Source organism: Homo sapiens, chromosome 6 (assembly GCF_000001405.40).
Source record: "Homo sapiens chromosome 6, GRCh38.p14 Primary Assembly".
Taxonomy (NCBI): Eukaryota; Metazoa; Chordata; class Mammalia; order Primates; family Hominidae; genus Homo; species Homo sapiens.
In genome coordinates this window covers 149351974-149376175 of record NC_000006.12, presented here as the reverse complement: position 1 = coordinate 149376175, position 24202 = coordinate 149351974, and the positions used below count along the sequence as shown (strand labels likewise).

General features: G+C 36.4%; 1 protein-coding gene across 12 annotated transcripts in view; it reads right to left on the bottom strand.

Annotated features, from left to right (window-relative positions):
- The window catches only part of TAB2 (TGF-beta activated kinase 1 (MAP3K7) binding protein 2), a 193682-nt gene that overhangs the window by 35432 nt on the left and 134048 nt on the right, over positions 1–24202 (bottom strand). For 9 of the 12 annotated variants that reach the window (NM_001369506.1, NM_001292034.3, NM_015093.6 and 6 more), the window contains one exon: positions 6077–6267. The exons of 1 other annotated variant lie outside the window; for it this stretch is intronic. In NM_001369506.1, the coding sequence (NP_001356435.1) occupies positions 6077–6178 (102 nt within the window). In that variant the 5' untranslated portion in view covers positions 6179–6267. Of the gene's footprint in view, positions 1–6076; positions 6268–8007; positions 18014–24202 lie in introns of those variants that run through there. 2 more of the 12 variants (XM_047418485.1, XM_047418490.1) reach the window with 2 other exon arrangements.

The following is a 24202-nucleotide window of genomic DNA, read 5'->3' as shown; positions in this document are numbered from 1 at the left end:
GATAATGGAAATAAATTTTAAAATAATATAAATTGTCAACACAATTTGGCCACAAGAGAGAAACAATTCAAATAAGCCTGGAAGATTAAGAACCTGACAGAAAGGAGAGTTTTAGACTTAAGAAAGATGAATAACCAAGTTAAAATGTCCACAGGCAGTTTGATATGAGATAAAAATCATATTAAGAAAGAAGTGGACTAAAAAGGCATCTTGATGCCTTGTTAAGGAAATGACAGTTCACATTGTTTCAACAGGTAATATAAAAGGATAGTGAGCAAGGTTTGACTTCCCCCTTCCTAAAACCAACAACTTAAACCTCTCATGGTAGAAAAATCCTTTTATCCTACTAATAACTCTTAATTGATACATACTAATTTTTCAAATAAAGTTGAAAAACTGATCACAATCTTTATCAACGATTCCTATTATAATTAGATCTTATCTTTTGCCAAACCTGATTGGCCCTTTTTGCTTTAAGTTAAATTTATTGCCATTCCAAGTAAATTCTTCTTCCTTCTAAGCCAAAGCTCAGAGAGTTTATCTTCCTCTCACCTCCTCTCTGTCATCATTCTCAATTTAAAATTTACATTCCCTACCAAATCCAATTCCACATTTCCTTTGTAAAAGCTTGATACTCATATTTAGCCTTCCTCTTTAATTCTCTTGAGCGCTCAAAAATTCCTTTAATCCTTTGTAATCTCTGTAATTATTCAATATGTTCATATCAAAAAGCAATATTCTAGCTCAGTTATGCCATAATTTATGTGCACTCAAATTATTTACACTCTACAGACATTACTTTCTTAATAGCAAAACATAAAAGAACTTACAGGGGTTTTATAAGGTTACATTAGGACAAAAGGAAATGTACTTTTTATTAAAATTTTTATTTTAGAAAATTTTAAACATATATAAAAGAGAGAGGAAATATGATAAACTCCCACATACTTATCACCCATCTTTGTTCGTTTGATGTATATGCCTCAGCTACTCCCCCTACCAAACTAGATGAAGTCTCAGACATTATCTCGTTTTGATTTGTAAATACTTCAATATGTACTGTAAGAGACAGGACTTAAAAACATAACCACAATGCCATGATCATACCTTAAAATAATCAATTCTTAGCATCACCTAATATTCAAATAGCACTAAATTAAAGCATAAAAATGTCTTTGTACAGTTAGTTTAAATCAGGATCTAAATAAGGCCTACATATTTCATTTGGCTGATAAGCCTTTTAGGTTTCTTCTAATAACCAGCCCCTCCCCTCTTTTAAAATTTTTTCTAGCCATTTGTTTGTTGAGAAAACTTGGTATTTGTGTAGTAGAATTTCCCCTATTCTGGACTGCACCCCGTGGTCAATCAATTTCCCCTGCATTTCATTGTAAACTAGTAGTTATATCTAGGGATGTGATGAAGTCCATGTTTGAATTTTTGGTGACCATCACAGACATCCACTGTCAAATCATACAAGGAGACACAGCAATGTTTGCCTGTCTTTTTGTGATTTTAAAACCAACTGGTAGATTCAGATGTTGTCAGCTTGATCCAACTGATGATTTTTAGCAGCTATTGATGATCACTGCTTAGAAACACTATTTCATTAGGGGTGCTAAACAGTAATACTGGAATGTCCCAATTATAAGATTTTGGCCAGGCGCAGTGGCTCACCCCTGTAATCCCAGCGTTTTGGGAGGCCAAGGCGGGATGATCGCTGGGCCCAGGAGTTTGACACCAGACTGGGCAACATAGTGAGACCCTGTCTCTAAAAAAAAATCTTGTTTTTAATTAGCCAGGTAGAGTAGGACACCTGCAGCCCCAGCTACTCAGAAGGCTGAAGTAGCAGGAGCACTTGAACCCAGGAGGTTGAGGCTGCAGTAAGCCATGATCATCCCACTGCTGCATTCCAGCCTGGGTGAGAGCGAGACCCAGTCTCCAAAAAACATAAAATGGATTTCATCTTCATTCTTAGCAGCAATTCTTCCTTGAATGCTTGCTCTCTTCAACTATTTGGTTACATTCTGCACAGAAGAGGCAGGATAAAAAAATTCTTTTCACTAGTTTTCAGAGTAACAAATTTGGTCCCTAGCAACCTCCAAAGGTGACTATGATTTATTTTTAGTATCATTATAAACTCATGTGTCTTTAATATTTTGATGTGTTTCAATCAGTTTTGGTCATTATGTCCCCTCTTCAAGTTACTGGGAACAGCTTCAAGTTGGCTCCTCGGTATACGACATGAATCCAGTAGTTTTTCAAAGCTTCTCTGCTTTCTGATATGACAAGATGTTCTAGCTTATCATGTACATCTACTCCAGACTTGCAATCAGCCATTTCTCAAAGCAGCCCTGGTTACTTTTAGTGAGAAAGGGTAGAAGACTCTCTTGAAGTGTATCAAAAGGGGTGGGATATGAGTTTTTAGAAGGTGGAAAATCACTGCTTTTTGGTATACAGCCACAAATCTGCATTCTCCTCAAAGCTATAAAAAGGTCTGAATCATTAATTCCAGTTCCTCTTTCATTTTTCCCCAAACTCCTGCACAGACACAGAAATTACAGATAGTATCAAAGCATATATACCCTATGGCATTCATTCACTCCTTTAACCAACATTTACTGAGCATTCATTAGCAAGGAGAAAGGAATATGATCGCTGATCGCAAGAATCTCAGTCTAGTGGAGGAGAATAATGTGAACACAAATGAAATGCAGTATGGTAGGTGTTATCATAGAAATATGGATAAGGACAATGGGTGAAGGTCATCTGAGAAGGTTCCACTAAGTACATGGCACTTAAATATTAAGTGTTGCATATACTGAATGAAAAATACTTAATGCAGTACTTTGAAAAGAAATACCAATTTTAAACTTACAGATTCAATCGTCATGTTAAGAGAATTTAAAAACGGTAAAAAATTAAGTTAAAAAACCAAAGTGAAAACTATGCAATATTTTCACATTCTTCTAAGTTTTCAGATTTAATTACCAAATATAAAAATCAACTTTAAAGATATAAATTACACCTGCTGGTTATAAGTTATCTTACAGAATTCACAGCAGAAGGAAAAGATATGAGTAGTTCCAAAAAGAGGGAACTGTGCAACAGATAAACTTAAGAGAAAAGAGGATAGACACTTTTGTTCTCTCCCTGACAAGCAAGATGTTTAAAAAGAACAGGTACACAGAATTGGTAGCATGGCATGATCCTTTACTAATTTTAAAAAGTTCTGAACCAGTATACTGCAGGAAGGATCTGTCAAAAGAACAGAAACCCACCCAACTGAGAAAGGAAGAGCAGCCCCAAAAGAGACGCTGTCATTTAGAGGTAGCTTAATTTGCCCGTTTAAAAATATTGCTCTAAATTTGGGAAAACTTGCACCCCAGCTGAAACCACAGAGGAAGGAGCTCTTCCTATTCCTTTCTTGTCAGATTTCTTGTTATATCAGCTAAAAAGTACATTACCTGGATACCCTAAATTATTATCAACTCACTTTTAAAAAGTGTGGTCTGTTTCAGGCAAGCAAAGTATTTCATTTTCATTAACACCAGGTGTTGGGAAGCATGCTAAGTAGAGGAGTTTGCTTTTGTAAAGCCAGATTAACATAGGGAAGGTGATATTACTAGATGCCCAAAGGAAACGGAAAACCATTCATTTTTTATTTTTGGGTTAAAGCTTAATTATTTTATTTTTAAATAGATAATTTATTAACACAGATTAAAACAATAAAAAAAAGATACCTGTTGAGAAGTCTGAGTCCTAACTCTGTCCCATCAGGCCTGTTCCCTCTGGCCTACCATGGATAAACATCTTTTATTAATTTTGTTTTTAATTCTTCCAGTATTTCTTTATGCAAACAGAGACAAATACATGGATGTGTAAATATTTATTTGTCTTGCTCTGTCTATATACTCTGCTCTGCATCTTGTTTTTCTTAACACATACCAGAGATTATACTGTAAGAGTACATTAGAGTGCTCTATTTTTTTTTTGAAAATATTTTAAAGTAATTCTACAAAAGGCTCTATGTTTTACTCCCAGTTACGGTATTTCAAAATCTCTATACCTGTACTATATGTAGGGAAATGCTCTGGACAGTTCTTTCAATACGAAGTCTACAGAAATTTATCAAAGAACTTACAGTATCTTTCTGTTAGTTTTTTAATAACCTACTGAACAGCATAGCTTTATTTTACCACAAAATTCTCTTTTACTTGAAAAGTTAGGGAGAAGTTACTTGGGTTCTAGGGGGGAGACTATTTTTCCCCACTATCTCCGCTCCTTTCCCACACTTTCTTTTAACTTCTGACTCCATCTTTATTACATGTTTTTATTCTCTCATTTTTTTTTCACATTTTATATTAACAAATGTAAACCACTGATTCATTTACCAAATATACCTTATGGGCTTTCTGCTGTTGTTATTCCTTTTAGTATTGGCTGCTAACATTTATTGAATACTCACTATGAATCAGTTACCCTACTGGTTGTTTTATCTACATTGTCAAATTTAACTCTCTGTGTAGTTTTTTTTATTCCCACTGTACAGTGGAGGAAATGAAAGTCAGAAAATGAGGGTCAGAGAAGTTAATTAAGTTACTGCTAGCAACTGTCAAAACTTGAACTCAGTTTGGTTTATCACCAAAAGATATGCTCTTAACCATTATACTATAAGAAAAGGCATTGCTGGTGGGAGAATTCCATGCAGCTCAGGATGACCAGAACATAGGGTATGAACAGGAAGGACTGGACAAAGATCAGGGTGTAGAAACAGCCAGGATTCCAGATCACAGACCTTGTATGCCCTAGTCAAGCTATATGAGCTTCATTCAGAAGGGCACAGGGAACAATCAACAGGTTTTAAGTGTGTGAACAGCTCTGCACTCTGGCAGAAGAGGATAGATTGGAGAGACCAAAACTGGGTTAGGTAAAGGCAGGTAGACCAATTAAAAGGTGATAATGGTGATAAGGGTGTGAACAAAATGTAGTCATTATTATAAATTACAGATTTGATAAAAATTTCATATAATTTCAAACTTTAAAAATCACTTCAAGAGTAAATATGCTTGACTGAGCCCCGGACACTTTTTTTTTTTTTTTTTTTTTTTTTGAGATAGGGTCTCTCTCTGTTTCCCAGGCTGGAGTGTAGTGGCGCGATCCCAGCTCACTGCAACCTCTGCCTCCTGGGTTCAAGCAATTCTCATGCTTCAGTCTTCTGAGTAGCTGGGACCACAGGTGTGGGCTGCCACACCTGGCTAATTTTGGTATTTTCAGTAGAGACAGGGTTTTGCCATGTTGGCCAGGCTGCTCTTGAACTCCTGGCCTTAAGCAATCCACCCGCCTCAACCTCCCAAAGTGCTGGGATTACAGGAGTGAGTCACAGCACATGGCCCCAAATACATTTCTGATACAAAGATTTCCAGTTTAATAAAATAGAAAGGCACAACTATCACTCAATATTTGGAATTGTAAATTTCCAAAACTGTGTATACTAAGAACAATGTACAAATTAGAGGGTGATACTAATTGGAAAACTTACAAATTAAATTTAAAAATATAAAAACAGACTTTTTTCCCCCATTTGGAATTGGGACCTTAGGCATTGTCTAGTCAAACTCTTTTATTTTACAGATTAAAAAAACCTAAAGCACAGAGGGCATATTCTTTATCAGATATGCTTGGGGTGCCCATTTAGGATTATAACCCAAGTTTCCTGACTCTTTAATCATTTTTCTCACTTTCATACTAAGATCTGAAATTAGCTCTCCTGGCAGAACAGGTGGGAGAAAAGTTAAGAAAGCTCATGTCTAGTAAGTACAGATATTATCAATGCTTTACATTCAGATCTCATTTAACTCTCACATCTACTCTACAAGTCAAGTATTATCCATACTACAGATGGGTACAGAAAGCTCCATCTTGCCAAAGGCCACATGACTATCAGACACCAAAGCTTATCTCTTTTCATCATAATACACTAACACCAACAAGAAGATAACCTAAAAGAGTTTTTCTTCCAATGTTTAAAAAAATACCAGGTTTGTATTAACAAATTCAGAAATCATTGAACACTGACCTGTAACATGCACCTGGATACAACAACTTCAGGTACTTCAGGGAATTTTTGTCGCAGGTCATGTAAAACCTGAAAATCAATTTGGTGGCTTCCTTGGGCCATTCGTATATTGCCTGATCAGGACTATTTGTACAGTAGGCAATTCTAGGCCTTAGTGGAAATAGTACTCATCTCTTCTGTCCAAGCATTTTCTGTGAAAGAAAGAAAAAAAATTTTAATGAGAACTGATTATAGAAGGAATATTGTTGTGGATTTAAAATTTCAGTACAAAAGAATATGTGCTTTAGCACTTAACATTATAAACTATAAAAATATTTAGACCTAAAATGCTTTCCATATAGTTATACTATCTTTTTAGTATAAACTCTGATGGTAAACTTTCATACTGTCTAACTCTTATGTATTTATATGCTCTATAATGGCTGAGCCAAAAAGCATTCAAGTAAGAAATTACTTTCAAGGTTGTCTTCCCAGATTCTTTTAAAAAGGGAGAAGAAATAGTATCACTGATTTTTTTCTTAATGATTATCCCAAGGTGAGTAATCTAAATTCTTAAAGTTTGGATACTGAAAAAATTTGGTACTACAAATGACTCCGTTTTGTCTAAAACTTAATGATTCAAAACCCAATGCATTCAATATTTTGCTTTATCTTTCAAATATACTTAATCCTTAAATGCACAATCAATTCATTCTTAGGAGCTTAGTAGCATTTTATTCCCTCTGCTTCTATTAAATCAGTATTTTTAAAATACTAATATTTCCCAAGGGGTTTGATTTAATTGGCTGAGGAGTGAGCAGCCTGGGCATATGGAGTTTTAAAAGATCCCAAGGTGATTCTAATGTGTGGTCGAAGTTGAAAACTACCCACCTTATTTTTATTCCTATTGTTTCTAAGGTAAACCATGTTTAATGTTGAAAAATCTTTTGGGGATATAAATAGGAGATAAGTACATTAACCTAAATAAAATATTAAGACATTTAAAATCATGCTATTTGAAAATACCTTTCATTAGGACAAATTTCATAAGAAGACAATCTCTTTAAAACTAATTTCTTATTTGTGGTATTTCTCTTTTTAACCTCGTTAACATAAGCCTAAAAATACAGGTCTATATATTCATGAATGTAGAAATTGGGTCTCTTTTATTATTGTATATCTAGCATTTTATAAACAGTCTTCAGCATAAGAGTAGATATTTAAAATAGTTTTGAGTAGATTTATAGAACTCCTCAGTGCTCAATAAAATAAGCGCTCACTTATATAGTAATAAGCCTTTTAGTTTTTTATCATCACTTGATTAAATTGTACTTAATTATTTTATCTATGTGGCTTTAGCTTAGTTACATCTCATGGATAAAATCACTGCCAACATCAAGTTATTTGCATTGTAGATTTTCCAAAAGTATTTCTGTGTAAACACACACACACACACACACACACACACACACACAAATTTTCGCATTCAAAAGTAGTGTTTCTATAAATGGGTTGCAGGAGAGAAAGTACTAGAAATGAGTAAAGGACATTTAAAATAATTTAAGTGGCGACAATCATGCTATAGAACTGCTCATTTTAAGGAAGCCTTCCTTGACTCCTCTCTATCAGCTCATTTCTCCCTCTTCCCCCAATTTTGGGCTAAAACTCCTGGAAAGGGTTGTTTATACGTAAGTGTCTTCACTTTCTCCCTCCCTTCTAATCTCTTTTAACCTACCCCACTCAGGCTTTCATAGTTTTTCTCCACTGAAACTACACTTATCAAAGCCACTATACACTTTTAGTTTATGAAACCCAATGGTGAGTTCTCAGTCCTCAACTTACTAGATCTCTCTGTAGCTCAGGACCCATTCAACCACTACTCCCTCATTCTTTAAACAATTTCTTCATGTGGCTTCTGAGGTTTATACTCTTCTGGCTTTCCTTCTACTTACTGGCAGATTCTTCTCAGTTTACTTTGCTGGATCCTTTTCCTTTTCTGGACATCTGAATGTTGGTGGCTGGTAGAGTTCAGATCTATGGTTTCCTTTCAACTATATCTACATTCATCTTCAAGGTAATTTCATTCAAATATATTGCTTTAAATAATATCTATATACTGGTGCTTGGCAAATTATTATCTCCAACTCCAATCTCTTCCTTGAGACTAACATATCCAACTGGCTAACTGACATCTCCTTTTGTGTATCAACTTATTTCAAGCTCAGTATGTCCAAAATCAAACTCTTAATTCCTCCCCCATCCAAATCAATCCTTTCCCAGTCTTTTCCATGTCAGTAAATGGTACCACCATTCATCCAGTTGGTCTCTCATCCCACATCTAATCTACCATCAAGACTTCTTGGCTTATATACAAAAAGTATTCTTAATCTAACCAATTTTTCCCACTTGTTACTGCTCTTGTCCAAGCCACCATCATAATTCATCTAGACTACTACTGCAAAGGCCTCAATAGGTCTCCCCACCTTCCTTCTTTTTGCCAACATACCACTTCTTCCCGTCCCCAGTATTTTCTTTACTGAGCGGCGTGATCTTTGTGAAAAGTAAATCAGAGTCATCACTTTCCCTGTTCAAAATGCAATGTAACAAAGCCCCTGGCTATCTACCACCCCTCTAACTTCATCTTCTACCCTCTCCTTGTTCCCTCAATTCAAAATGGCAGTCTGGTGATTTCTCAAAGAAGTCACTCTTGTTCTTCCCTTAGGGCTATCGGATTTGCTGCTCCTTTACTACTGGAACAGTTTTCCCTTAGATCCACCTGCAACTCCCTTCTCTTATGTCATTAAGAATGTTGATCAAATGTCACTTCTTCAGAGACAGTTTCCCTGACCAATCCCTCTATCTAAATAATGCCATAACTCTTCCCCATCTCCCACCATTGCACCCTCATACTGCTTTTATTTCATAACATGTATCAATACCTGAGATATATTTTATTATCTCTCCATCCCCAAAACATTAGCCCCATGGGATCAAGGACTCTGAAGTTCACTGTTCTATCTCCAGGATCTGGATCATTCCTGGCTCACAGAAGATGCAACATATTTGTTGAATAAAATGAATATTTTATTATAAGGTTTCTTTATAGTTTCCTTCTATAAGGCTTCCAAAACATATTTCAAATGATCTAGATTTGAAAAAAAAAAATTTATACACAATTTGAGGGAGAGGCAAATAGTCTGATTGAGACATTTTTATTATTTAAAGGAGGATGAACCATGAAAACAAATTTCAACGTATTTCATTATTAAAACATACACTGAAATCTCTCACCATACTTGCCTGCTTTTCTAATAAAGACTATCACCTACACAAATGATAACATTCTTCAATTGTACAATTTTATTTTATGGGTTCTACTTCCTGTGATGGCTGAGTAACGCCTACCAGACCAAATCTTTCATGAATAACAACTATAAACAGTAGAAATGCATAAAAAACTACCTGAAGGAGGAAGAAACAAATTGGTGGAGGGAAGAAAAAGGGGTCAGCACTTGGAAGAAGGAAACAGCAAGGGTAACTTTCCATTTTTTAATGGCTTTTACTCAGAGAGCAGGTCCCAGTTAGTTTGGGTAGCTAACACTCAGATAAAAAACCTGCAGTCTTACTTGCTTGATGAACCAAAGGACAGACAATGGCATGATCATAACAGCTGAAAGCTTAGTGAGTAAATCACAGGAAGGAGAGAACCACAGAGAGGAGGCCCTAAATTCTGTGTATAAACTCTGTATTTATCTTTGATCTCCAAACTATACATATGTGCGACAGATTCCATTCAAGCAGCAAGGCTAAGGTTAAAATAACTGAACTGCGATTTCAGAGCTTATACTTTAAGTGTAGTCAAGTTATCTGGCTTGAAACAGATAACAAACCAAACATCAATACTCACTGGAGGAATACAGAATCCAGAGTCTCTACATGGCATTCATAATGTTCTAAATAAAATCCAAAATTGTTACACATAAACAGAAAAAAACTGACCCATACTCAAGAGAAAAGGCAACCAATGGACACAAAGCCCAAGATGAGCCAGCTGCTAGAATTAGCACATAAGTATTTTAAAGCATCTATTTTAACTATGCTGAAGGATTTAAGTGCAAATATGCCTGGAACTCTCAGCAAAGAAATGGAAATTATACATATATAAAGCAAATAAAAATTTAAGAACTAAAAAATAAAATAACTGAAAAAAATTCACTGGGTAGACTTAACCATGGATGGGAAATGACAGTCAGTGAACTTGAAGACAAAGCAATAGAAATTATCCAATCTGAAGGATGAATAAAAAAGTGACTGTGGGCGAGGGGGAGGAGAGAAACAGAACCTTAGGGACCTGTGGCAAGGTATCATAACATACTTGTAATTGGAGATTCAGAAGGAAAGGGGAGAAAGAATGAGGTAGAAAAAAAATTTGAAGAAATTATGGCTAAAAATTTTGTTAGTAAAATATATAAATTTACAGATTTAAAATATCAGCAAATCCCGAATAGAAAAAAACAAAGACTACACATAGGCACAAGATAGTCAAACTCCTGAAAACCAAAAAGAAAATCTTGAAAACAGCCAAAGAAACAGAATGACAATAATTTAAATGATGACTTCTCATCAGAAACAATGGAGGCATCAGAAGACAGTGAAATGACATAATATAAGTGCTGAAAGAGGAAAAAACCAAACTGTCAATCAACCCACATACTACAAACAGCAAAAGTAAACTTTAAGAGTGAAAGCAATATAACTATTTGAAAATGTAGCCTTTGTGGAGCAGTAAGTCATTTGTAAGGACAACCCAAACACATTACTGAAACAATTGGTATTTACTTAATTTCAAAACAAAAACCAAGAAATATCTTATAAATTTACTCTGTAAAATTATTTCTCATAATAAACAGAGACACATTTCCTATGTTAAGATGCAAAATAAACCCTCTCCTGAGAAAAAGAATAAAGAAATCATACTTTATGAAATGTTTGCAGCAATAGGTATAAAGTTCTGGCATCTAAACTTCCACCAGCTAAAATGATCTAGGAGGGTTAATTCCTTCTAAATAGTAGCAGAGTATATACAGCACTACAAAACATAAGTAGACATATTGGAACGGTTTATAAAATGTGCCATATTCTTTCCTTTCTTAAAGATTATGTAAACAATTTTTGATTTCTTAGTAACTATTACAGTGAAGAGTACTAGGCACTGGTTAATGGCTCACTCAGACTGCAAGTTATGCTTCATATTCAGTGCAGTTTATCATAGTGGATGTTTCTAGGACTATAAGAGTATACAAAAGCTAACTGTTTAACACGAGACCACGTCTCCAGATTAAAAAAACAAACAGAAACAAAGAATGCAACTGGATATATAGGTCTTATGAAAATCTGGGCATTTATGAGGCAACTAGATAAGAGTATTTAAAACTGGGACTATCATCATCTATTTATCTACCAACCACACATTGAATGAGTGCCTAGTATGCAGGAGATACCATGCTGGAGATAGTACAAGTATTAGAGTCAATGTCCTTGCCCTGCAGATCACAGAAATTGCTAGGTTAAAGGCACATAAATACACGTTTATAATTTAGATAACTATTTTAACTTGCTCATTATTTTATCTTCTGTCTGCGTCTTCTGCACTCGGTCTGCTGCCTGCCATCTCGCTTGTGGCTATCACAGCCACTGTTTTTCTCTTTCACATCATTCCAAAGCAGAGCATGGGAGCATGGTACATTGGGAAAAACTGTAGAGAGCAAAGATCAAGCAAAATAGGTAGGGCCCAAATCATGAAGTGCCTTATAGGCCATTAACATTTGGGGATTTTATCTTAAGAACAATGGGAAGCCGATGAAGGATTTAAAGCTCAGAGGTAGGAAAGGTGACATGATCAAGAAATCATGTGTGTATAAAAAACGGCTATTGTATGGAAAAAGGGTAAAAGAATATATGAGAAGACCAGTCAGAAAACCACTGCTGTAGTTCAGCCAGGAAATGGTAATAGCCTGTACTGTGGATAGCAATGGAGACTAGGTAGAGAGAAGTGGAAGACCTTAAGGGATATTTAGGAAGTAAAAATGTATAGAAATTTGGTGATGAATTAGAAATTGGGGCAAAAGCGAAGGAGGTGTCAAAGTTGATTTCTGATTTGCTCAACTGGATAGTGGTCTCGTCTCTGAATTAGGAAACAATGGGAAAAATCAAAGAGCACAAACAAAGAGAAGGATTACAGGTTTGTTTCTGAACCTGTGGAATCTAGGGTACCTGTAAAACATCCAAATAGAGATATCATACAGGGAGTTGTGATATATGGGTCTAGCGCTCAAAGGACAGATCTGACCTGCAGAGAAAAATGTGAGGTGCATCTGTGGTACTGGCGTTAATTAAAACCTGAGTGTGAATGAGAAAATCCTACCATATAATTTAAATATATCATTAGTTATATTATGGATAAAACATTATATAGTAATTATTAATTTTTTCACAATGGTCAACATTCTATCCTCAAAAAAACTGAAGAGCATGTTTAAAGATGGATTTTCAAACATCTTAATGAATTTTTTGTTCAGAAAATATTTTACTGTGGCATTATCCTGTAATGAAACTTTAAAAAATGTTTAAGAAAGAAAACATGTAAACAGTTTAAAAAGCCAGCAAGTGCTATGAAGCTCATTAGGGAAACTTTCCCTGCCTCATGCCTCTACACCTTTGATTCCTACTCTGTAGAGGTAACCATGGTCAAGACTGAGCTGTTTCTCCACATTCCTACCTATTGTTGGAGGTGAGGCCTGGTGGTGAATGAATCATAGGGGCGAATTTCTCATAAATGGTTTAGTGCCATTTATGAGAAAATAAAGATTTAGCTTTAGAACTCAGTGCCTACCCCATATATATATATACACCATACTTCTCCACTGCTATACTCCTCTGCCCAGTTACTTTACAATTTTTGTGTAATCAATATTCAATGTTTATATTACATTTTCCCCCTATAAATACTGTTAGCCTAGATACTTAGTCAATAATGAGGGATGGACTAAATCTCCAAGGTCCCTTCCTGTAGTGGTATTCAGGGAAGAAAAGTATAATTTTAATTTAAAAAACTGTAGAATATTAATCATTTGTGACCAAAGCTGGTATTCAACCAAGTCTGATAAAATAACAAAGCTCTTGCAATTCTAACACTAGGGAAAATGGGGAGAAATGGGAGGGAGGGGACAAGGGAGAAACATTACTATTGTACTTAAGTTATAGATTTAGATTAGATGAATTATTTTCTAGAAAACAAGCTGCCTTGATATTAAAAACAAAACAACACCTCAAAACAATGACTATAAAAATATGGCAAAGTCTGTCAAAGATTGAAGTTAACTGCTCTTGACTAGTTTCCCCTCCCCAGTACACCAAGCCAGATGGGATAGTTTTCTAAAACTTTCCAAAAAAAGGTTAATTTTTGTGTAATTTAAATTGTTCCAAAGTCCAGACAAATTTCAGTTTTCAATTTACTTTAAAAGGTTATAATATAGTTAGGGCATTATCTCCTCTAAATCTCATTCTGAACTGTGATCCCCAGTGTTGGAGGTGGGGCCTGATGGTGAATGAATCATGGAGACGGATTTCTCATAAGTGGTTTAGTGCCATCCCCTTAGCGCTGTCCTCAGGATAGTGAGTTCTTGTGAGATATGGCTGTTCAAAAGTGTGTGGCACCTCCTGTCTCTTGCACCCGCTCTATGTGATATCCAGGTTCCCCCTTTGCCTTCTGCCATAGCTGTAAGCTTCCTGAGGTCCCGCCAGAAGCGAAGCAGATGCCCAGCACCATGCTTCCTGTACAGCCTGCAGAACCATGAGCCGATTAAACCTCTTTTCATTCTGAATTACCTAATCTTGGGTATGTCTTTACAGCAATGCAAGAATGGTCTAACATAGAAAACTGATACTGGGAATGGGGCACTACTATAAAGATACTTGAAAATGTGGAAGCAACTTGGGAACTGGGTAACAGGCAGAGGTTAGAAGAGTTTGCAGGACTCAGGAAGACAGGAAGATGAGGGAATATCTGAAAATTCTTAGAGACTGGTTAAATGGTTATAATCAAAATCTTGATAGTGATATGGACAGGGAAGGCCAAGGTGATAAAAACTAAGATGGAAATCAAGAACTTATAGGAACCAGAGCAAAGTCAGCCTTGTTATGCCTTAGCAAAGAGCTTGGCTGTATTGTGTTCATGCCCTGGGGATCTGTGGAAGTTTCAACTTAAGAGTGATGATTTAGGGCATCTGACAGAAGAAATTTCTGATGTGGACTGGATGTTTCTAACAACCTATACTCAGATGTTGGAGCAAAGAAATGACTTAATGTTGGAAGTTATATTTAAAGGGGAAGTAGAACTATAAAAGTTTGGAAAACATGCAGTCTGGCCATGTGGCAGAGAAAGAAAAGGCTTTTTCGGGAGAGGAATTCAAGCAAGTGGACTCACCACTTGCTAGAGATTGGCCCAACTAAAAAGGAGCCAAGTGCGAACAGCCAAGACAATGGGAAAAAGGCCTCGAAGACATTTCAGAGATCTTTGCAGCAGCCCCTCCCATCACAGGCTCAGAAACCAGGAGGAAATAATGGTTCAGGTGGCCAGGCCCAGCCCTGCACAGCTCAGGACACTGCTCCCTGAATCCAGGCCGCTCCAGCTATGGCTCAAAGGGCCCCAAGAACAACTCGGGCTGCTGCTGCTTTGGAGAATGTATGCCACCTTAAACCTTGGCAGTGTCTATGGTGTTAAGCCTACAGGTGTGCACAGTGCAAGAGTGAAGGAGGCTTGGCAGCCTCCACCTAGATTTCAGAGGATGTATGAGAAAGTCTGGGTGGCCAGGCAGAAGCCTGCTGCAGGGGCAGAGCCCTCACAAAAAAACCTCTACTAGGGCTGTAGGGAGGGAAAATGTGGAGTTGGAGGCCCCACAGAGTCTCCATGGGGGCACTGCCTAGTGGGGCTGGGGAAAGGGACCCCCGTCCTCCAGACCCTAGAATGTTAGGTCCACCAGCAGCTTACACCTTGTGCTAGAAAAAGCTGCAGACACTCAACTCCAACCCACGAGAACACCTGCCGTGGCTGAACCCTGCAGACACAGGCAGGGCTGCTCAAAGGCCTGGATGCGGGACATGGAGTCAAAGGAGATTATTTTGGAGCTTTAAGATTTAATGACTGCCCTACTGGGTTTTAAACCTGTATGAAGCCTGTAGCCCCTTTCTTTTGGCCAATTTCTCCCTTTTGGAATGGGAATGTTTACCCCATGCCTGTACCCCCATTGTATCTTGAAAGTGAATAACTTGTTTTGATTTTACAGACTCATAGGTAAAGGGGACTTGGCTTAACTCAGATGATACTTTGGACTTTTGAGTGACGCTGAAATGAGCTGAAACTTTTGGAGGACTATTAGGAAGGAATGATTATATTTTGAAATGTGAGAAGAACATGAGATTTTGAGAGGCAGGGGCGGAATAATATAGTTTGGATGCTGTCTTCTCTAAATCTCATGTTGAATTATGATCCCCAGTGTTGGAGATGGGACCTGGTGGGAGGCGACTGGACCATGAGGGTGGATTTCTTATGAATGGTTTAGTGCCCCCTGCCTTGGCACTGTTCTCATGATTGAGTTGTCATGAGATCAGGCTGTTTAAAACTTCCTCCTCCCTTGCTTCCGCTCTTGCCATGTGACACACTGGCTTCCCCTGTGCCTTCGGCCATGATTGTAAGCTTCCTGAAGCCCCACCAAAAGGTGAGCCGATGCTTGGCAACATACTTCCTGTACAGCCTGCAGAACTAGGAGCCAATTAAACCCTTATTCTTTCTAAATTACCCAGTCTTGGGTACTTCTTTATAGCAATGCAAGAACAAACTAACACAGGCTAACATAAAAAAAAATTCAGAAAAAAAAGGCTATCATTTTCTGATGTAAAAATCTAACATGCAAATAAAGCAAACAAAATACCTATATACCAAGAGCATTTACTTTAAAAAAACTGGCACAAAAATTTTGAATAAAAGATTAGGAAACGGAGTATACAAACTATAGAGCTGGATTTATTACTGGTATCTCACTTTAAACTAAACTTATTAATGTACTTCCATTATATTAATAGTTAATGGAGACTACTTATACTATTATCTCAATAGATACCAAAAGCACATTTAGGAAAATTTAAGTCTTACTTTTGGGAGAAAAAAACTTGGCTTCAGTTCCAGAATGATAGTGTACTGAGCTAGTTCAGAACCTCTTCTGTTATGAAAAACCAGAAATAATGAAAAAATGATTGACTTTGTTTTGTAACAGCAGAGCTTGCAAGAAAAAAATTCCCTGGTGCCAGAAACAAAGACAGAATTAAAAGCCACTATAATAAGTGTTTAAGTTAAAATACTGTGGTGATATGTGGGGGAGAAGAGTTTGGAAGGAGAGAGATATAGTTATCAGAACTAGACATACTGGAGCTGGGGTTTTAATACTATGTGGAAAGAAGACACATTATAGGACCACATCAGAAAGACATTTTATTTAAATGAAATAGTTGCATAAAGCAGAGATTCTGGAAGGTCCTTCCTTACTAGAAAAAAGCAGCTAAATCTCTATCCATTGCCACATAGAAGCCACAAGAACTGAAATTCACTAGAGCCATGAGTGGGAAGGAAACATCTCCCTTACAAAATTAAAGACACGAGCCCGCACCATGCACAGGTGTGGAATCCAAATTTACACTACAGGTGTAGAAAAGAAACTTAAAATAGAAATTAACAAAAAAATTGGTCTGAGGCTGGTGATACCATAGGATTCCTGGCAGAAACAAAAGTAAAACTGCTATGGAATCTTATTTCTTTAACCCAGGAAGCAAAGGATTTCTAGAGTTAAAAAATGAAAAACAAATAACATCATGTTGAAAATGAGCTCATGTTAAATAAAATTCAAAAGCACAAAGAAATAATCCACCATGAGTAAAGATCAGGAACATTAATTAGATGATTAATATCTAAGAATGTAAGAGAACAGAACCTGAAAGAAGCTATAAAATAAAAATATTTAAAATGACTGTGGAGATAAAAGGAAATCATAACAATAAGATATAAAGTGAAAAGGCAAAATTTGAAAAAGAATCAATTAAGACTTCTAGAAAATATATCATCATAAAATGTAACAATCAATGAATAGGTTAAACAGCAGAAGGTACTTGAGACTACAGAGAAAGGTGAACTGGAAGATGGATAAGAGAATAGCAACCAGAAAGCAGCAGAGCTTATAAAGCAATGGAATATATGGAAGAGAAAATGAGAAACAGAATGAAAATACTACTGCATCTAATAGAGGACTTGTAGAAAGATATGAAAGAATAAGGGAAAGGCAAAATTCAAAGAGATAATGGTTGAGAAACTGACAATGTTTCTTTATAATATACTGAAAACACACACACACACACACACACACACACACACAGAGTTCTGAAGAGAAAAATAAAAAGAAATCTGCACCTAGATGTATTGTAGTGAAACTGCAGAGTACCAAAGACAAATATTTTATCTTTAAAACAATCAGAGAGAAAAGAGCCATAATCTACAAAGGAATAACTAGATTGATGAACTTCTAATTAGTCGCAGTAGATGCCGGAAGACAGAATAATACAAGTTGAGCATCCCTAATCTGAAGATATGAAATACTCGAAAACTGGAAACTTTTTGAGTTCAACAGGATGCGAGCATGAGTGGAAAATTTCACATAAGTACTTAAGACAAACTTGCTTCATGTGCAGAATAATGTAAAATACTGTATAAAATTACCTTCAGGCTATGCGTATTAAGGTGGATATGAAATATAAATCAATATCGTGTTTAGATGTGGGTCTCATCCTGAAGATATTATACATATACACAAATATCCCCAAATCTGAAAAAATCCAAAATCCGAAACATTTTTGGTCCCAAGCATTTCTAATAAGGGATACTCAACTTATATACACACATTTCTGAGAGAACATAACTGCAGATCTAATTTAATTTGCAGACCCTATGACTCAGCAATTTCACTTCTAGGAACTTACTTGAGAAAACAGACAATCATGTAAAGATATACATGAAAAGGCCGGGCGTGATGGCTCACGCCTGTAATCCTGGCACTTTGGGAGGCCAAGGCAGGTGGATCACTTGAGGTCAGGAGTTCGAAACCAGCCTGGCCAACATGGTGAAATCTCGTCTCTACTAAAAATACAAAAAATCAGCCGGGCGTAGGGGTGGATGCCTGTAATCCTAGCTACTTGGGAGGCTGAGACAGGAGAATCGCTTGAACCTGGGAGATGGAGGTTGCAGTGAGCCAAGATCGCACCATTGCACTCCAGCCTGGGTGACAGAGCGAGACTCTGTCTCAAAAAAAAAGAAAAAAAAAGATACATAAGAAAAGATGTTTATTACAGTATAATTTATAACATGACAAATTCAGAAACAAGTTAAATGTTGTAAAGTATTAAGTTCATCTAAATGTACTGACATGGACAGATGTTCATTAACACCGTTCAAGGGGGCAGAAGCATAGACTAAATTAAACAATGTATAATGTAATCCATTTACATATTGATAAAGAGTCTTTACTATTACTTTATATCCATCAAGGCTAAAATGTGTGTGTGTGTGTGTGTGTGTGTGTGTGTGTGTGTTTTTTTTTTCTCCTTGAGACGGAGTCTCCCTCTATTGCCCAGGCTGGAGTGTAGTGGCACAATCTTGGCTCACTGCAACCTCCGCCTCCTGGGTTCAAGTGATTCTCCTGCCTCAGCCTCCTGAGCAGTTGGGACTACAGGTGCACACCACCACGCCCGATTAGTTTTTGTATTTTTAGTAGAGATGGGACTTCACCATATTGGCCAGGCTGCTCTCGAACTCCTGACCTCGTGATCTGCCTGCCTCAGCCTCCCAAAGTGCTGGGATTACAGGAGTGAGCCACTGCACCCGGCTAAAATGTTTCATGCTGAAAACACACTACTTTTAAAAAGTAAAAATAAATTAAAAGTAAATAATAAAGACGTGGTTATTTCAGTTTTCAGCCACTAGACTGTTATAAATGTCATAATGCTGGTGAATGAAATAATTGAATAGTCAAGGTATCTGTAAAAAATACGATATGCTCTTTTGAAATGACAGGTGCATTTTTATAAATTACTGTAAAAAAATTCTATGGATAGGTGAAAGTCTGTTTGTAGCAAATTAATCATATAAGAGATTTTAATGCTGGAATTCATTTCAAACCAAACAAAAACAAAATCCTAAATTCCACACTACAAGAGTGAATACTCAACATCTGATGTCAAGATCTACAGATGAAGGCTGGAAAGATTTTTATGCTTTAGATCCATCCTCACCTGCTATGGTGTGAATGGTCAGGTCCCCTCAAAATTCGTATGTGACATCCTATCCCCCAAGATGACAGTATTGGGAGGTGATCAGGTTTGAGTGTGGAACCTACATGAATGGGATTAGTGGCCTTATAAAAGAGGCCCGAGGGAGCTGAGCTGCCCCTTCCACCATGCGAGGACATAGCTAAAAGGTGCCACCTACGAACCACAGAGTGGGAATTCACCAGACATTCAGTCTGCTGGTGCCTTGATCTTGGACTTCATAGCCTCCAGAACTACAAGAAATAAACTTCTGCTGTTTATAAGCTACCTAGTTTATGGTATTTTGTTACAGCAGCCTGAATAAACTAAGATTATCATCTTATTTCTGTAACCTTGTTTAATGGTTGCTCATTTTGACAATCCACATCTACGTGTATAAAATGAAGTTGAGTCTCACTTTCAGTTAACCCCCAATTTTAGTCACAGAATCACTGTGAAATCTTGCCTTTAATAAGGCCATACTAAGTTTTCTACAAATACCTGTTGAATGGCAGTCTCCTACATTTCTATGTGCTAAAGTAGAACTACCATTACCTTTAGTTAGAAGGAAATAAGCATTTGGAATTCTCTAGGACATTAGGAAATACGATTAAATTAGGAGGTATCAGAACAGATTCAATAATTCAAATTTTAAGAAATCTACTTGAAAGCCCAATATATCACTTTGTCATTTATCACTTCTCAAAGAGCCTTTCAATAGCATTAGTTAAGTGTTACATGGAAAAATAAGTTTTTTTTTTGTGGCAATACATTTGAAAAATGCTGTTACTTAAAGTTAAGGAGGTTTCTTTATTTCTGGACTTTAATATGCACTGTTAATCTTTGGGTAGCAGCAGCAGATGCAATATTTCTCAAATTTAGTTGGGCATGATCCTATTTATCCATAAGCATCTTGAGGTAGGAAGCACACAGGTAAACAGTGTCATGTAAGTAAGGTAATCAAAAGACAGCAGTACCTTTCTCTCTTAGGAATTTATGCTAAGGAAGTAATTCAACGTAAGTTTAACATAGTTTTTTTTTTTTTTTTTGAGATGGAGTTTTGCTCTTGTCACACAGGATGGAGTGCAATGGTGTGACCTCGACTCATTGCAACCTCCACCTCCTGGGTTCAAGCGATTCTCCTGTCTGAGCCTCCTGTGAAGCTGGGATTACATGTCCCTGCCACCACGCCCGGCTAATTTTTGCATTTTTAGTAGAGACGGGGGTTTCTCCACGTTGGCCAGGCTGGTCTCGAACTCCTGACCTCAGGTGATCCACCCACCTCGGCCTCCCAAAGTGCTGGGATTACAGGTATTAGCCACCACACCTGCCCTAAGTTTAAAATAGTTTTCTAACAGTAAAAACCAAAAAAGAACCAAACAGCTTAACTTTTGGAAAGCAGCTTTTCAAACTGTAATTTATTAATACTTGACTATTATGCAGACATTAAAACTTATTAAAACCTCAGAAAATGCAAGGAAGTAGTCATGTAATATTTGGCAAAAACAGAAAGACATTATCATGTAAATAATTTTCACTGGGGAAAATTTTAAATTGGAGACCAAACAAAAAAGTATAGGGGCGGCGCATCATGGGAGATTTAATTTATTAAAAAATAATGATCTTTAATTAACATCCAAATGTCTGTTAACACATCACTTGGTGAGGGGAATCCTCACCTCAGAGTGCAGTCTCTATAGATGTCAATTTGGCAATCTGTATCAAAATTAAAACTGCATTTATTTTTTGACTTCACAATTCTATTTTTATGAATCTGTTTGCAGATACAGTCACACAGAAAACTATATATATTTGCCAAAGCATGTTTCTAATGATAAACAACCAAAAACTACTTACGTATCTGTTAATAGTGATGTGTAAACTATGGTCATTCACAAAAGTATAATGTACTATACAGCCATTAAAAAGAATGAGATGCTAATATGGAATAATCCCCAAGAAACAATACTCAGTTAAAAAACTACCACCACTAAGTGCAGAACAGTGTTCTGTATTCTCTTACATACAAGAACACACACGCTTTTACGTGCACAGAATATCTTTGGAAGGATACACAAGAACTGGTAACACTGGCTGCCTCTAGGGAACGCAATTAAGGGAGATTTACTCTTCATTATACACCTTCTTGATCTAATAAAAAACACACAAATAAATTTTAAAAACCTATTTTATTTAATATATTGTTTCTGTAATAAAAAATATTCAATAAAAAGTGAAAATAATGTGTTTTATATTTCATCTTACAATTTAGACTTAGGGAAATGAAGATGCTTCAAAGTGTTATGTAGTCCAAGACTACCTGAAGTTCTAAAATTGAGATTACATTTTATGACATGATTTTGTGACACGATCTACCTAACATATTAAGTATATTTAATCAAAAGTTTTGAGATTTGCACAATCCAAAATGAGGCTCTGTAGAGTGCTTGTTTACCTACTTCTCTTTCGATTTCAGGATCAAATAAACTGATGTGGTAACATAAGAAGGCATACAGATGTACTAATTAAGGTAAGCAGGTGTTTGTGTTCAAAGGGCATGATTACACTTTGGATAGCAGAAGCTGGGACCAATTAGATGCACATAATTGAGGTTTTGATGAATGTTATAAAGAAACCAATATCCAGTAAAGGACATTGTAGAGAAATTTAGTTAAATTTTATCTAGACATCTGTCAACACTGAGAAGCATGCAAATAGAGAAGCAGGATTTAACTTTTATGCATAAATATAACTTGGACTCCAAAGTTTTAGTGGGTTAAAAAACATATACGTGTATGTATGTCTCTTTACATATGTATACACACACAAATACACAAATATATATATTTAATCTCTCACTCTCTATATATAGAGAAATAAAATATACACCTGAAGAAAAGTTAGAAAATAAGCATTGTTTTAAATGACTGCATAACAGTCCATCAGGTCAATATATTACTATTTAGCCAGTCTTGTAAACAAATAACTAAGTTGTTTCTAATTTTTCTCTAGAAAGCTACGCAAAAAGTTTTTTGTACGTGGACCATTTCCATATTTAAATTATTTCCTCAGAATACGACTTTATATTCACAATGTCAAGGCAACAATATGAAGGTTAGCCTTTAGATTTTATCTTTATTTTACAAAGACTTAAAGGGGTCGTTCCCCGCTTGATTTTTTCCTAATGCCTATGTAATATCCTGCTTGCTAGCACTAAGTTAGTGTTTCTCCATTCTGGATGCACATCTAAATCACTTGGGGAAGAAACTGGTAACAATGATTATCTGAGGAAGAAGAGGGAATCTGGGAGAATAAGGGCTGGAGAGGAAGACTTAAGAAACTTTCTCTTCACTGTACACCTTTTCGTGCTTGTTGAATTCTGTATTATATTCCTGCGTTACCTAGTAAAAGAGAGAAGTAAGGGGAAGGAGTAAGGTGGAGAAAGCAGCAGCAGCAGCAAAAGCAATCCAGCAGCAGCAGCAGCAGCACCCAGAGCTTTGAAATGCAGAGTCCAAAGTTGGGGAGGTAACTCAAACCTGATAATGAGTTTTAGAATTTCTGGATGTAGGGCCTACACATGCATCTCTGTTACTCAAAGTAAAAACAAGATACTCCACCAGTAACTGTGATGGGAAGTCAAGGTAGAGAACCATGGAATCAGTAATTCCATTTTACAAGGCTGATGATGTTCAAAACAGGTAAATCTTAGAGCAAACAAAGTTGAGTGTGTAAGCAGGAGGGAAAAAAGGTGCCAAAACCTTAAAAGCTCCTTAAGATTTAAGATATTGGACAAAAACGCAACTTTCCTCATCAGGAAAAGGGTGTGTTTCCTAAATCAGCATTTTTTAGTTTGGTCTGTGGACCACCTGAAACAAAATCACTGGGCTTCATCCTGGACCTACTGAATCAAAGTCCCTAAGTATAAAGCCCAAGTATGTTCACTGATTCATCTTTGAATCCACTGTGATGAGCCCTCTCAAGACAACTGCTTATCTGAATGTTTCTTCAAGTAAAGTTTACTCCAGTTCCTACAAGACCGCTAGTTGATAACACAGTAAATGAAAGGCAGGGAAGGGACTAATCAAAAACCAAGATGACTATGGTCAAAGGATCACATATAAGAGGTGCTTATAGTAAAGTATTGATTTAAGGAAGGAAAATAGAGATGGAAAGGGGTGTGGAATTTCATGAGTTTAAAAAACTGGGTGAAAGGCAATGAAATAAAAAGATTATTAAAATGAAGTCAATCACCAACAAGCCTGTAACAGGAATGGTTAGAAACTTGTATGTAACTTGATTCAATGGGAAAGAAATAACTAGGGGAAGAAAAAATTACCTCTATTAAGTATACACAAACAGATTCTGCAGCTACTATATATTTAAGAGTGTAGGAAAATGTAGATGTACAATAAACACATATGGATCACCATAGGTCAGCTAAAAATGAAGCTTATTATAAAATAAAAGCTGTTTTTGGGCAGGTAAATTTCTGAAAAATCTTTTACTATCAAGAAGGTGCCATACAAAGTAAATGGTGGAGCAAAGCTAAATTCCCAGAGATCTAACTTTTAAAAATAAAAGGAATAACTAGTAATGTATCTCACATAAACTACTCAATTTACATAATTTAAACTTGACAAAGTATTGGCCTTTACTATTAAAATCTTAAGAAAGAAAAGGAACCAATGAATAAATAAAATGTTACTCTGAGACAGGCATAAACTTTCCTGAAGAGAAGAAAAG